The sequence below is a fragment of the Homo sapiens genome, chromosome 9 (genome assembly GCF_000001405.40).
Source record: "Homo sapiens chromosome 9, GRCh38.p14 Primary Assembly".
NCBI classification, from domain to species: domain Eukaryota; kingdom Metazoa; phylum Chordata; class Mammalia; order Primates; family Hominidae; genus Homo; species Homo sapiens.
Window position 1 is genome coordinate 117,534,725 of NC_000009.12, and position 16,755 is coordinate 117,551,479.

At 39.9% G+C, this 16,755-nt stretch overlaps 1 annotated feature.

Moving 5' to 3' along the window:
• Positions 14,684 to 15,293: an enhancer, noted in NCBI's record as "OCT4-NANOG hESC enhancer chr9:120311686-120312295 (GRCh37/hg19 assembly coordinates)". NCBI's record gives its function as "activates a minimal SCP1, AML or CMV promoter by ChIP-STARR-seq in naive and primed H9 embryonic stem cells {active_cell/tissue: H9 hESC(naive and primed)}" and the evidence as "EXISTENCE:reporter gene assay evidence [ECO:0000049][PMID:30033119]".

The following is a 16,755-nucleotide window of genomic DNA, read 5'->3' on the forward strand; positions in this document are numbered from 1 at the left end:
TCACTCTCTCTCCCTCCTTTTTCCCCCTCTCTCCCTCTTTTTTTTCCCTCTCTTCTCTTGCTTTGTGTCCTAGCATTTATCTCTAGGTTAAGAAAATGCCAAACCAATCTTAGAAATTCATAGATTTCCCCCTTCAGTGAGCCATTATCATCTCCCTGGCTGGCTAAATAAAGCTAACATTTAAGTCACAGAACAGGCCCCAAGGTAATAATGGAGAAGTAGGACTTCACTAATCATCCACTAGTTACACTTCTTAAGAAAGGCTGTTTGGCCAATAACCCCACACTCCTCCTATATGGCCACTTTTTGTCTACAGAACTATCTGCCCAGCAGGTTTAGCAGACAGTAAATTTTTAAGCAGGAGAAAACTTGTCCAGGGCTGTCACTGCATCCTGGCTTCATCTACCCTAAGAGGGAGGTGCTAAAGACTTGTTCAAGCAGCTAACAGCAGACAGGCTCAGTATCTTCAGTTGGCTTTTTAATCTACTGGTTTCCTGGAGGAAGACTCTGCAAATGATCCAATCTTTCTACTTTCGTTTGTTGCCACTTATTCCACATCTTCTGCTCAGAGGATAGTGAGCTCAAATACATGCAGTGGCTGAGCAGATAATATGAACGTGTACATCAGCTCCAGAGAATTAGTGAAGGGGACAACTATTTCTTAGCTTCAGCAAACTGTGCTCAAGGGGAAAACTGGCCCTGCACTTCCCTATCTTCCAACATTTCAACAGGATTCGGAAATATAGACATATATGTGAAATTTGCCAATCTTAAACATTATTCAAATGTTCTGAGATGAATGTGTGGCTGTGGAAACCTCTCTTAAGTCCTGCAATTGTCTGCAATCTGTGTTTTCTTATTCCTGCTCTTTTCTTTGTGCTGTTCCTGTGTGTAGAATGCTCGACCCTCTGGCTCCACCTACCCACACTCTAAGATGCTACCTCTAGGAAAGCTCTCCATGGCTGTAACTGACCTTTCTCTCCTTTGAGTTTCCTTGACATGTTTTATGGACTTGAATCGAATACAATACTATATAGACTTTGAGTTTCTTGGAGTTTACTCACATTTGCATTCCTCTTCTTCTCTTATCTTATATCTCTAGATATAGTACTCAATAAATGTCTCTTGAAAAAGAAGAATGAACAACTTTTTCATTCTTCACAAAAAGCTGTAATGAACAACAAGCAAACAAAAAGAAAGTGTGGTGTGATAGAGCATGAGCCTTGGAGACAAACTTTCATCTTTGGTTTCAAATTTTAAATTTTCCAGTTATCAATTATATGATCTTGGAAATACTACTTTTGTTGTCTGTGAAAGAAAGACAACATTCTCTATAATGCAAGGTTGTTGTGATGATTAAAGAAAATGAGATGCAGAGCTGGACAGATGTTTTCATTTCTCCTATTGCAGTGTTTCTCAGACATGTCTGATTATAAGAATCACTGAGCCATCTGTTATTAATCATCCTGATTCTAGGACCCACCCAATGCATATTGAATCAAAACCTCTAGAGGAATTGTCTAGAGATGTGTATTCTTATAATCAGGACAACTTGGAAAATAAAGCACACTCATTATTACTATTTCTGTATCTTCAATATCAGCTTTCTGAATTAAGGTATTTCAACCTGCTGAGGTTATCCTCACTGCTAATATCTATTTTTTTTTTAATGGAACAAGTTCTGTTTTTTTTCTGGGTCTGGCTATAAGTCTGTACCAGTAAAAACAGCCATTGGAGATTCATCAATGGGAGTCTTATTTTGGAAATTACTTATTCATTAAGATTCCATTAAAATGTTAGCTCCATAAGGGCTGGGATTTTGTCTGTTTGTTGCTACATCCCCAGAGCTTAGAACAGTGCTGAACACATAGGTATTTGGTAAATGTTCTTTAAATTAGGATCAGATAACTCATTTCACAGCACATGTGCTCCAAGAATAGCTCACATTTTGAATATCAAATTGTTTTTCCACCTCAACTCTTCCTCCCAAACACAACTGTGGTAGAACTGTGCAAAGGACACTTCAATACTCAGCTCAAAACCTGACTAGCTGAAACTCTACCAGGATGGCTTATGGTTCTATCACTGTCTTTTATCTTCTACTTAGTCACTTCCTAGAATGTCCAAGCACATGCCTTCATAACCTGTATCTAGGGATGAATAAAAAAGATGAAATACAAGTATTAATAAGGCCATTCACTGTGGCAGTCTGCCAGAAATATTTTTGATAAAAAAGTAAGGAATCCTGAATTTTTTTGTGAAAAATGGAAAGAAGTGGGAGAGATGACTCATTGCTAAACTGGTTTAAACAATAACAACAACTGTAAATTAGGACAATAAAATAACATAGCATTGACCATATATGTTGTCTTACACAGTCTAGGGGAGCAATATTATGATAATCCATGGATTAAATCAGGAGTTACCTGTAATTTGGCAATTTATCAAAAATAATTAAAGTAAAATGAGAATACCCTTTGTGAAATTAAGAGCTACCAGGTGGCCAAGACATGAGAAGCAATCAATAAACAGCAAGCTAATAAATGGGTTAATATATATAAAAAAACAACAAGAGCAACTGCTTCAGGATCAGAAAATACTGAGTATGTACCTCAATGAGATCATAGGGAAATATAATTTAAGATTTCCTAATCATTTGTAATAAAAGGACCTTTATTTCATTTTTCCAGTTTCAATATGGTTCTTTTGGTAGAATGGTCTTTTTTTCTGTTTGTTACTTATTCTATTTAAGAGTTACACACTGATGTCGTTGGTCATGTGGCTTTGATATATCTCCAAGTAGAACAGGTGGCTATGTGGCTTACTTTGGCCCATCATATTTTAGCAGGCATGCCATAAACAGAGGCTTGAAATATGCTTACTTGCTTTGCCTTGGCCTCTTGTACTTCTCTTTCCCTTCATTAGAAGAACATTCTCTGGGTAGCCCCTGGGCCCAGAATGAAACACCTCTTACGTGAACCTGAAACACAGTATGACGTAGAGGACTCCCTCTGCTAACTTTGTAGTCAACCAATAAACTAGTGAGAGATTCATGATTTTTCTGTAAACCACCAAGATTTTATGCAACATAATCACAGTAACACTTGACTACCATAGTCCCCATAAAACTGTTACTTTCGATGATGACTAGTATTGTTAAAAGTGAAGTTCATATCACGTGAATTGACTCAGCCCCTTGCATTCATGGAACCTGAATTGTAGAAAACAGTTTCATTTATAGTATCTCTGGTAAAACCTCACGTAGCTGTTTGTGACAGACTGGGCAGTATGTGTACAGAAACTAGTTGAAAACACTACATCTTAAGGACACTTGATATTACTTTGAAACAAATGGTAAATGGAAGTGGGGCCATATGGCATTATGCCTGATTATGGAAGAAATCTTTATTGCTTAGGAAAGAATAAATTAGCCTGCAGTGATTGAAAAAGCTCAAAATCTGAATAGTTTAACAAATCTCAGGTTTATTTTTCACTCGTGCAAAATCCAGGTGACCCTGCAAAGCAATTATCCTCCATGTGGTGACTCAGTGATCCAGGCTAGTGGAGGCTCCGCCGTCCTATAGCTGTGTCATCTGGAAGCACAGCCTACATGACCAATGTGGCAGGTAAAGGGAGTGCAAAAGGGTCTCATACAGACAATTGAATATTTCATTTCAGAAATAACCCACATCACTTCCCCTCACAGCTCATTGGTCAGAACTACACACATGCTCCTATCTAACTAATAACAAGACAGTAAAAAAGTATAATATTATCTTGTACTTGGAGGAGGAATAACTCCCTATGTGAGTAAACACTGGAAATGTCAACCACAAAGTCATATTGTCTATTTTATTAAATGGATAAGGTAATCAGTGAGTTGTCAATGTACAAACATTAATTGCTGTGTGGAAACCATGTGATAATCTTTAGCTGATTGATGACTGAACACAATTTCTTAAAAGTATCCTAGAGTATAACTAGTGACACATACACAGTCAATTTCTCTATTAACGTGAAAGAATATTCAGCAAGTGCTCGCTGGTACTCTGAGTAGTGGAAGCCTTCAAGAAATCACTTTCTATACCTCTGTCTGGGGTAATAAACCTGTCTAAAATAATTGGAAGCCCGCATAGAGAAGGGCACAACCTTTTGAGCCCTTTGGAGACCAGAACTGTGAAGGATATAAGGTAGAAGGATGGAGCATTTAAGTCTCTCCATAGACCTAAATGGCTTTGGGGCAGATAAAACATAACCAAATTGCTCTGTAGCCATTCACCCATTAGAAATTCTGTGCAACAGAGAACTGTGTTAAATTGAAATAAGACCCCATGTAGACATGCGATATTCCTAAGGGGGAAAAAAGAAACCAACTCAGCTCTAGAGGTCATCATCGGCAGGAGGGGGGTTGATCATGTGAATTTGTAGCCACGGCTCACAACATACGATCCAGGCAACATTTAGCTACTGTATAATGGTCTAGATTCTCCAATAAGACATCAATGCCCAAAGTCCTGAAATTGTAAACCGGGCAAAATAACCACAGGGATAATAAAACTATTTTATAGGCTTAGAAAATTAGAAAACGGTGTTTTGAAATGAGTCATGTTATACAATTTGTAGATCCATAGAGGAAGAAAAATTGGTAATAGGGAGTTAATAAGAAAGCTAGATGAAAACAGTGCTTCGTGTCTTGGGTATGATTTCATTTACAACTTCTCTATTGGGTGTAAAAAGTAAAATCTGTCTAGGAAGTAACATTGTCTAGACATGACCCCCAGAAGTGTCATTTTACTTTTGTTCTTCCTAGCAATTGGGTTAAATGTGTAACTACCCCAAGCATCCACACCTCCTGTACGTACCCTGCAGGACCACAGCTTCCATTTTCCCAGCTCAGTGCAGGGTCCTAGAGACCTGTTCATTGTGGCTTCTATAAAACTATCTGGTTTTGCTTAAAGGAACAGTGGGTGTCCTAGATGACATTGTTCTAGTGGTGAGAAAAGATTAGGTGATTCTAATATTGAGTTGAGAAACCATCGTATCCACTCAAATAAAGTAATACATGCTTCTGTTGTTACTCTTGGGAGGCAATTGCCTTCAAGGCTACGGGGTCCCTAACTATATTAGCATCACTATATTCCCTGAGGATAAATGGTATAACTCAGAAAGAGACTGCAGTGTTTGGGCCTCAAATTTTGCAGAGACTGCTAAAGTTTTCAAAGCTAGGAGTTTCTAGGAGTGTTATTCTTGAATATAACATTTTGAGGTTAATTAGAACTTGTTTCATTTGCAAGTCATCTACATCAAGTGAAAAATACATGAACCCAATGCTTTATATGCTATATGTATATTACACACAAATATATCACATGTACATGTGTGTATGTGTGTATGCATATGTGTGCATGTGTATGTATGTGTGTGTATTTGAGAGTGTGTGTGTATATATATATATATATGAATGAAAAAAATTACAACCAGTTGAAAACTTATGAATAGGGATCTCTAAGCTGCTGGAGTACAAACTCCCCATGCCTGGCCACTTAGACATTTCTGGGTTGATTGTTGTTATTTTAGTGGTCCTAAGCTGCCAGAAAACATCAGTTTTCTTCTTTAATTTACCATGGATTCTGGCCAAATAGAAGGATTTCTATGACTTGAAGAGTTGAAAAGTACTATACTTACCTTTGCTTCCAATTAGTAAGAAAAATTAAGTGCTAAAGTGTGTCAGATACTCTTGGAAAATCCTTCTCTGCAAGGTATTTTCATGGTCACAACCATTCCTTTATCCGTGGACAAAAACAGAGTTGATGTACTTTTACCTGGGGAACACAGACCATAAAATGTGAGTCATTCAAGTCTCAAGGGATAATTTATACATATCACAATAAAGGTAGGGGATAAATACTGAGAGATTCTGCCGTCTTTTTGTCTTACATCATGACATGATATATTTCACGCTTACTACTTTATCATCTTCCTATTAATTAAGAGGAGAAACCTGACCTACTTTGTAATATTTCCATTAGGGAAAAGAGGAAACCTAACTTATAGAGCCCCAGATAAAAAAGGAAAAGTAATACTTGAATAACTGGCTTGAATAACTGGATATGGCTACTGTCAGACATGTTGAGGAAGTAAAAAAGTGTAAAGCATGCACCCCAGAGGCGAACCAAAAAGCCAGAGCATATACATCCATATATGTGTATGTGTATGTATGTGTTATTGACTGTGTTTTCTTGAGTAACAAATAAAAACATTTTGTTAAAGAAACTATTTTGGTCGGGAGCGGTGGCTCACGCCTGTAATCCCAGCACTTTGGGAGGCCGAGGTGGGCGGATCACGAGGTCAGGAGATCGAGACCATCCTGGTTAACACGGTGAAACCCCGTCTCTACTAAAAATACAAAAAATTAGCCAGGCGCGGTGGCAGGCACCTGTAGTCCCAGCTACTCGGGAGGCTGAGGCAGGAGAATGGCATGAACCCAGGAGGCGGAGCTTGCAGTGAGCCGAAATCGCACCACTGCACTCCGGCCTGGGCGAAAGAGCGAAACTCTGTCTCAAAAAAAAAAAAAAAAAGAAAGAAAGAAACTATTTTGCCTTATGTGTGTTTCTTGGAGTTCGGCCACATTCACTCACTGCTCTTAAAGAGAACCCAGCACATCTTTGCTAATCCCTGAAATATCAACAGCCCCCTGGTGTTCATGGGGTTCTTGCAACTTTGCTTCTCACGTCTTCCTCTTATTGCTTTCATGTAAATTATCTATCTCATTCTCATCTTACTTACTTCTTGTAGGTTTTTCTTTCTTCCTATTATTAAATTATCTGGACCAGACATTTTTTTTTTCTTGAAGTAATATAACACTTACGAAGGGATTTGGGATCGTGAAGAAACTTAAGTCACAGCATGGCAAACTAAAATGAAATGTGCAATAAAATGTTTTAATTTGGGGGGGTGCATCACTTTCTCACTTTTTATTTCTGTCTTATGCTTTCTTCTCAGTGAGAAAGAGATGTGTAATTATCCATCTTCTTCAAACAATATAAATTCTGCATGAATTTAACATTTCAGGTAATCAAAGCCCCTTGGCCAATATACCACCATCTACATTTTCTCATTGTTTGTCTTGTCTTCAGGCTCAAAAGCCTCTGAGTGCTCTCCTAAGACCTGATCCCCAACAACGCGTGTCTGTGCACATGCATGTACACCTCCCCACACAAAATCTCCTTTCTCCTCACCTGATACCTGGTCCCCTTTATTTATTTTCTTGGGTTTACCCAGGAATCTCGATATCCTCAGTTTTTAAATGCAGAGTAGTTAAGTTCTCTTTTCATCTCACTCCAGCCAATCCACTTTATATTCCTAATCAAAGCAACAGTGGAATTAAAGGGTAAAGGCATTACTTTAAAGAGAAATAATCATGCTATTTTAGAAGCAGTTCCATGCAGTCAGTCCTGACTTTACAGAGTGGGAATAATCGACTGTGAGATTCCTGAGGGGAGGGAATGTTTTCGTTGAGTTCATTGCTATAACCCCAATTACTAGAACTTTGCCTGGCTCATAGTAAACATTCGATAAATCTTTGCTGAAAAAAATGCCAGTGTAAGGGGCTTATTCTTTGCACTTTAAAATAAAGGGCTAGAAGAATGCAAAGATTATATTGCAGAGACATTATATGGGATAGTAATGGAATTTGCAGTCTGTAATGGAGATATTTCTGGGGAAACTGAGCCTTCCTTGACCTTCTCAGAGACACTAGAGTGCTATTATCACTTGGCATATACTACTGCAATCTCCTGGTCTCTATCACTGTCCTTTAATAAAGTGGATCAGTACTTTTAACTTTTTATTACTTTGCCAGAGTGAAGGCAGCTACCACCTTCCTTGGCTCCCTCTTCAGGGTCTGTGCCTGCATTTTTCCCTTGTTCTTGAATATGCTTTTTCCTTCGCAACCATTCCCCTCTATATGGCCTGCACACACCTGAGCATACATACAGCATACACGTACACTCACACTCTGCCAAAGTCCTAGTCATTCTTAATACCTATTTTTTAATAGCTCAGCATCATTTCCTCACCAATATTTTCTTTGTCCCTGTCCTGACTAGGTAAGTCCTCCTATTTGATTATTCTTAGCAATTCACACTTCTCACTACCAGTAACTATGTATTTGTGATGTGATTTGAAAAATTCTCCTTCCCCCACCCCACCCATGAGTATAAGCCTACCATACTGCTAGGTGCTTAGTAGGATCTCAAAAATTATCCAGAGAATGAGCCAATATGAGACTCCTTGAAAGTGGTAACTGCTGTTATTCTGAGTGAAAATTATCTAGCACCAAAGCTGACATTAAAATTATGAATTAGACTGGTAGGCCAAGATGATAAAACAACAGCCAGGAACATGACAAAAACAACTCAAGAGCAAAACTTTTCACCATGCACCTCCTTTGCTAATCACAAGCACCATTTACATTTGAAAATGAGTTTGGCTGAGAACTATTGATTTTCTCTTTGCTCCACTTTGGGCTTTGCGCTGAGAGTCCTGCTCTCAAGAGGTAGAACACCCTATCCTGATTTCACTTGGCCTTGGTTTGCCTCCAGCTCAAACGTGCCTGCCTAGCTGTCAGATTTAATTAAAGGGCAAGACAATAGCAACAACAACAGAAGCAGGATAGTTGAGAGACCTTGCTTGTTCTGTAAAACAGAATGTTAAGAGGGGATTTTCAAAAGGCAAATGAGCATAGCAAAGATCCTCAGAGCAATCACTCTGCTTGACATTGGTGGAGGAGGCTCCAGGTCTTTGGTCCCCCACCTAGGATGCAGGCAGGGCAGAAGGAAAGACAGATCTGTCCCTGTGGCCTGAGAGGGTATGGCCAGAGGTCCTGGAAGACAATCAGAGACAGGCCTCTGCACAGTCAGACCCAATCTGAAATGGCAGCTGAAGGTGATAATCAGAAGGTGGTTGTGCCTATAGCCCCCTGCTCAAGTGCTTGGCCCTGGGTGAACGACATCTTGTCATTGAGGGCAGCTGACGGTGGATTATAAGAGCAGTAGAAGGTGACAGTGGAGGTGAACAAAAGTGAGGTTCCCATAACAGGTAGAAGATAGGCAATGATCCTGATGAAGAGTTACCTTTCAGAAAGATGTTTGGTCTCTTGCAAGATTTATATCTGTCCCTTCCCACCCCGAGACATACTCTCCTCTCCCACAGTTCCTCGGCATTCTCTTCTCCAAACTCAGCTCACAGGCTTTCTCTTCTTTTCCTTATTCTTGTTCAGCATCACATCCTCAAACAAATCCTCCTTATTATAAGAGAATCTACCTGTGGAGTGGGGAGAAAAACAGGGAGCAAAGTCAAAACCTTTGGTAATGGTTAGGGCAGAGGAGAGGGTAGGGAAACTATGAATTTCTGTCCCATAGCTCAGGATACCCTCTAAGAAATACATTTTTGGGCCAGGTGTGATGGCTCGCATATGTAATCCCAGCACTTTGGGAGGCTCAGGCGGGAGGATTGCTTGAGGCCAGGAGTTGGAGGCCATCTCCTTAAAAAAAAATTTAAAAATTTGCCAGATGTGGCCACTTGCATCCGTATTCCCAGCTACTTGGGAGGCTAGTGTAGGAGGATTGCTTAAGCCCACAAGTTTGAGGCTTCAGTGAGCCAAGTTTGCACCATGCACTCCAGCCTGGGCTATAAAGTGAGATCCTATCTCAAAAAACAAAACAACAACAAACACACACACGGAGTAATACCAATATTTTATTTATTTATTTATTCACCCTTTTTGAATCTAAAGGAACAGATTTATTAAGCGAGAAATACAGGATTTGAAAGCTGGTCAGTCTGATTCTAAAGTCTGTGATCTTTTATTTTTTATTTTTATTTTTTTCACATTTTATTTTAGTTTCAGGGTTACATGTGCAGGTTTGTTACAAAGATATATTGCTTGATGCTGAGGTTTAGAGTGCAAATGAATCCATCACCCAGGTAGTGAGCATAGTATCCAATATGTAGTTTTTCAACCCTTGTTCTTTCCTCCCTCCCCACTCTATTGTCCCCAGTGTCTATTGTTGCCATCTTTATGTTCATGTGTATCCAGTGTTAAGCTCCCACTTATAAGTGAGAACATGCAGTATTTGGTTTTCTTTTTCTGTATTGTTTTGCTTAGGATAATGGCTTCTAGCTGCATTCATGTTGCTGCAAAAAACATGATTTCATTATTTTTTATGGCTATGTAGTATTCCATGGTGTATATGTACCATATTGTAAGAAATTCTTACATTTTAAAAGAGGTAGGGGTTTCTTCCCTCTCTCCAAATTTTTATTTGAAAAAAATCCAATTCTAAGAATCTGAAAGAATACTGTAGTGAATACATTTATAGCCCTCACTTAAATTCACATTTGTTAACATTTTGTCACGTTTTATCTGCATATTTATGTGTATACACAAACACACAGGATTTTTTCTGAACCATTTACAAACAATTTTCAGGGCCAGGCGCGGTGGCTCACGCCTGTAATCCCAGCACTTTGGGAGGCCTAGGCGGGTGGATCATGAGGTCAGGAGATTGAGACCATGCTGGCTAACACGGTGAAACCCCATCTCTACTAAAAATACAAAAAAAATTAGCCGGGTGTGGTGGCGGGCGCCTGTAGTCCCAGCTACTTGGGAAGCTGAGGCAGGAGAATGGCGTGAACCCAGGAGGTGGAGCTTGCAGTGAGCCGAGATCGCGCCACTGCACTCCAGCCTGGGCGACAGAGGGAGACTCCGTTTCAAAAAAAAAAAAAATTCAGGCATTTATAATCTTTCAACCCTAAATACTTTAGAATATATTTCTCAAGGACAGAAACCTTGTCCTATGTAACTACACTACCATTATCACAACTAAGAAGTTTGACAGATGTAATAGCTGCCTCACCTGTAGCCCATATTCAAATTCCCCCCAGTGTTCTCCAAATGTCTTTCATAGCTCTTTTTAAAATCCTGGATATGATTAAAGGTATATTATTTCATTTTGTCTGTTTCTTTATTCTCCTTTAAAATACAATAGCCCTCTACTATACTCATGCATGCATTCATGAATATATGTTATCTATCTACCGTATTTTATGTTGTTGGCAGTTTTTGAGAATCTGGACTAGTTATCCTACAGAACATCCTCAAAGTTTGGATTTTTCTGTTGCTTCACGACAAGATTCAAGTTAAGCATTTCTGGCAAGGTCTTGTGCAATTGACATTGAATCAGATCATGAGGTACATAATGTCAGTTTATACTATTACTGACATTGCTAAATATCACTTGGTAAAGGTGATGGCCACCAGGTGTCTCCATTATAAAAGCTCTCTCTTATTCTGTAATTAAGAAGGGACCTGTGGGATGATACTTTGAAATCCCATTATATTTTGCTTTACAAGAAACTTTACCAAGTTGTTCCAACTTCTGTTATTGACCCTTTGCTTAATGAATTGTTTGATGATGATAAAATGGTAATTTTCTATTTCTATTATTCATTCTTTAATTCTATTACATATGTTAGCTGGTACTCTGTGAATAACTTTTTTTTTCTTTTTCAACGTAGGGGTGAGGAGTGTGTGTGTGTGTGTGTGTGTGTGTGTGTGTGTGTGTGTGTGTGTTGGCTTTTTGTGACTTAAAGACAAGACCCAAAAGTTTATATGAATAAATCCCACAGTACTGACCATATCCTGCTTAAAATGCCCCACATGTGGTTAGATGCTTTCCTTTATGACTGGTCTTTGATGTGGATCTCAAGCCTTCCAAGATCTCTGAATGAGCCAATTCCACAGGTGTATGTTTCTTCCTGGCTCTCCAAGCACAAGAACACCAGCAATATTGTATGAGGAATTTAGGCAATGTACACAGGAGTCCAAAAAGGGAATACTCTTGTAAACTATACACATAAAAGTCCTTGTTAGGGGGTGAGGTTAACACACTCGGGGATGGAAATAAGGCAGGAAATATTCAGGGCCAGGTTGGAATAGTGTAGTTATTTGGGATACCTTACAAACTGTCAAGTTGATAAAATTTAACTCTTAGAGCACACACTGAGTAGAACAAGAAAAATAAAGAGAAATATTAATAAACAAGAAATGAAAGTGTCAAGGTATATCAGAGACAGGTAGGAAAGGGAGCTTCCTTGTTTACTTCAGAACTCTCTGAATTTATAGTGGATTTAACACAGATTCACCTCCCCTCAACAGGGAGCTTAGCGGCCTCTCTGTGTGGAAGACCAGACTGGCTTAATGGAACCAAATGTCTGAATGGGGCAGCCTCCGTCATAGGAAATGCTGTCCACGACACTCGCACCTCCTTGTCCGGTCTCTGCGGCTCATTTCCTGTGGGTGCTGGTCTCACGTGGCATCAGCAACAAAGCTGAGACGTAATCTTTCTATTTGTACCTGGCCAGGAAGTTCCTGCAGAGATTAAAGAAGGGGGATGTGAGCGCACGTGTGGGTGGGGCGGGGCGGGGCGGGGCACAGCAGCAAGGAGGAGAGGAGAGACAAGTGTGTTTAAATCAGTGGAACAATCACTCCCAGGCTGGAGCAATTTTGAGATTAGGGCTTTTGGCTCTGCTTTATTTTACGTTTTTTTTAATAAAAAGAAACGATCTTTCTCTGATGAAAAAGTCGTGCTGCTCTATTGTAATCTCACCTCCACTCACACAGTTTCGCGCTGTTTCATTTCTGACCCACTTTCTTCACCTCCTTCGTTTGTTTCCTTCAAGAGCAGTTTTAGCTCCCAACCCCAGCCAGTGCCTTGCTTAAATTGCTTTAATCTCCAAGTGCTTCTTATATTGATTTTAAACAGTTAAGCTGCCAATCAACTTCTCTCCTTGTGCAGCAGCCGAGGGCAGAGAGATTAAAACAACAAACAAATAAGGCTGAACCTAGGAAGTTGGTTAGAATTTCCAAATGAATGTTAGCAGCTCCTCTGTCCCCTTCCTACCACAGAGGTGCAAGATTATTATGAAGAGACTAGGTATAGCTTTTTAATGTTAATAATAGCCAGCATTTAATGAACAGTTGCTCTGTGCCAGTTATCATTCTAAATACTTTATTCATTTAACTCATTTAATCTTTGCAACAATCCTATAAGGTAAGTACTATCATTATTTTAACAAAAGGGGAAACTAAGGCATAGAAAGGTTAACTGACTTGTCCAAGATCACACAACTAGTAAATGGCAGAGCACGAGTCCAAAGTCAGTCTGGCTCCAGAACATGAAATAATAACAAACAGGCACTAAGAACTCTTTTGTATTGTTACAAGTCTCTACCCAGCTGTAGCATAGCACAGGGTGAAGCAGGAATATCATCTTCCAGGAAACAGAGAGAGTTAGCTGTGGTCAAAACAGAGGTGAAAGGTCACATGCCCTTTAATCCAGTAAACATTCATCAATCCCTGATTATGTAAAAGCACTAAATTTGAGTTTGGGATTATAAAGGCAGCTAAGATGCTGTGACAGCTCACAGGAATCCCAAAGTCTAACAGATTCTAATCACAAATAATCGGTCTACGAGGGAAGATGGTGGTGGAAGAGGAAGATTAGGCAGGTATGTTATTAAGCAGTTATTCATCCCTCAAGTCATGACTCAAACCTCACCTCTTCCAGAAGGCCTTCCCTAACCACCTTCTGCTGCTTCCTTCTTATTTTATCACTCACGGTTGAACACTGCAACCATTGGAGCACTTGTTTGTCTCTTCCACTAGATCAGGGCCTTGCAGATGACATCCAGAGGGTCAAATCTAGCCCACTGCCTTTTTCATAAATAAAGTTTTATTGGAACATGCCACAATCACTTGTTTATATATTGTTTATGACTTCTCTTGAGCTGTAGCAGTAGAATTGAATAGTTGGATAGGAGACTCCGTGGCCTGTAAAGCCTAAACTATTTGTTAACTGTCTCTTTTTAGAAAAAGTTTGCTGACTCCTATACTAGACTATGAGCTTTGTTAGCGCAGAGAGCTTGGCCTTCATTTCTGAATCTGCAGTAGCCAGCACCACAGGAGCAGGGTCATTTTGGGTAAAGCTAACATCTGCTATCATTGCAACAGCATCATTTAAGCTTAGCCTGGGGTAGATTCTTACAATGACAGGTTCCTGCTAGATGGAGGAGCAGAGGGGATGCTGGAACTCCTGCCCAGCTCTTCTGTTTCCCAGTTCAGTGATGGGTGATTTAGCAAACAATTGCAGGTGTGCTGAAAGCACTCTGCAAGAACTAACACACATAAGGAAGAGAGGCTTCGGGGGCAGGCAGAAAGAAAGAAGTGGAGACAATGGAAAAATAGACAACATGTGGGGTGACTTGCCACTTTAATTTTCCTAGGAGGTGACAAACTTCTGTGACAGGTAAGTTATTTTGGTTCTTCATTAGGACTCTTATTAATATGGTGTTGGAAGTCTCTGACTGCACCTGCTGTGTTAGGGATTGTAAAGTGGTGTGTATAATACCACATCTATCTTGGGAAGGACAGAACGGGACATGGCGTGAGGGTGGGCAAGCAACAGATTGGACGGTGGGTAGAAATTACCTGCACAATTTCTGTGCTCTGAGCTGGTAATGAGCCCAGGGTGTTTGAATGAACACTCCATCCAAGCAATTGCTGGCAAGAGTGTCATCTGTCTTGAAAGAGAACATTATTGCCTGAACTGCAGCACCACGAACGAGCTCAGCTGGTCTGAACACTACTGGTGCCTTGGCCAACAATTTCCCCCACAAATGTTGTGCTGAGAACAGTGCAGAGTTGTCAATAGACTGGCTGCAACCTGCAGAGAGGCCTAGGAGTCAGGAGCCAGAGGTAAAACTGCTGGAAAGGGGCGACCTGTGATCCCTAATTTGTGTGACTAAGGAATTTCCAGAGAGAGGCAGGCTGAGCATTGTTGTTGTTGTCCTTGAAGATCTTGCTGTGTTGGGTTGCTTTTCAACTTGAATCAGAGGGCCATGAATGCTGTCAGAGCCTTTGTTTTTCCTCACATGTCGGACAGCTGAGAATCTCAGTTTCCTTGTCATGGATTAGGAGTCATTAGAACGTCAGGCTTAAAGGGCTGTTAAAGGTCATGAAATTCTACTCTTAACTGACTGTTAAAATTCAATTAGGAAGCTGTGATTGATAGTGAGCAGCTTTCATTTGAACACCTCCTTTCTTGAAGAACTGAGATCTTCCCAATGTATACCGTAATATCTTGGGCCAATTTAACTATTAGAAAGTTGTAGACAATCTGCTTCATATTGTACCAATAGCTGTCTCCTTCATGTCACAGAATGAGCCTAATCTTGCTTTCACATAATACGTCTTATGTATTTGCAGATGGCTTCCTTTCTACCCCTACCACCCACATCCTAAGTATTCTTTTCTCTGGGTTATATAATCCCATTTCCTTTAAAGTTTCCCATAGACATGGTTTTGATTTCACTTGCAATTTTAATAGAATTTTTTGAAACATGCCTCAACCTGTCTTTAGCCTTCTTTTAGCTACTATCCAGAATGAATGTAGTGATTCAATGCTCCCTTCCTCCTGCTAAATGTGCTTCTCCCACAAGGCAAAACGGATTGAGGGAGGATGACTCTCAGATATAAAAAATAATCAGTTCTCAAAGAAAAGCTCTCATACTCTTAAATTTAACTCCAAAGACGAACAAGCATTTAATGGGGATTTTAGCCACCATGGATCCCCAGCCCTATTTCAGAGGCACTCAGCCGGTCGTTGAGTCATCGAATGCCCTGGTATAGATTCTACGTTTTTTATTGTTGCTGCTGTTCTGATTAGATTTGTAAAAATTTGTTCATTACTTTTAAATTTTTTAAAGAGGCTGTTCTGGAGAAAAACAAAAGAGAAATATGAATGGTTGTAGTGAAGATGATTATCCTTCAGCCATGCTCTGCTAACACACCATTCTCCCCCAATCCAACCCCTTCTCAGTTAATACAATACTTCGAAAATGAAGAGCTAATTTTCTTGATCTGAAAACCATAGAGCTTGTGTTTTATCTTTTTCTTTATAAATTTGGGAAGAGATTTTAATCTCATAGCTAGTCAAGTGATTCCCCAACCATTTTTACGGACAAAAGACATGACATTTTACATGGGCCAGAACTTTTTTGAAAGAGCCAAGCTGTAGGAAGTCAGCAATAGAGGAATCCAAAAAAATCATAAAACCAAGACTCACTTCAAGGTGAGGAGAAGGTAAATGGTGGGTACAGCTGACCCAGGACTAGGTTGGAACGTGAGCCAAGGCTTCCTAATGGCCATCAGTTAACTTCTCCTGAAACTGAGGTCTCACTAAAATTCCTTTTTACTTTTATAGGATGGAAATATTAGAAACACAATAAATGAAAATGTGACAATTTCTATACTGTTTATATTTCCTTTTCTCCCCCTTTTACTTTTCCCTTGGCTTTTAAAATAAAATTCTCCTTGAAAATGTGAGTCTGTCTCATCTACACTGAGGGGCTATAAGGAAGGGGATGATTATCCAACATGGGAGTAAAGTATTGCAGGGGATATGAGTATTACAGGGGGCCTGTAGTGATGGTAGGAACATCCTGGAATGGGCACATGAGGCCTTGAGGCACGCTAGTGTGCTGAGCACAGCCTGTCCTACCGTATACCACAGCCCCAGGGGACAAGAGTGGTCAAGAAACCCTGCAGAAACCACAGCTAGGCCTGAACAGCTGCAAAGTCTCCCATTTTTATCCTAAAATTTTATGTGAATTGTAGATTGTACTCCATAATAC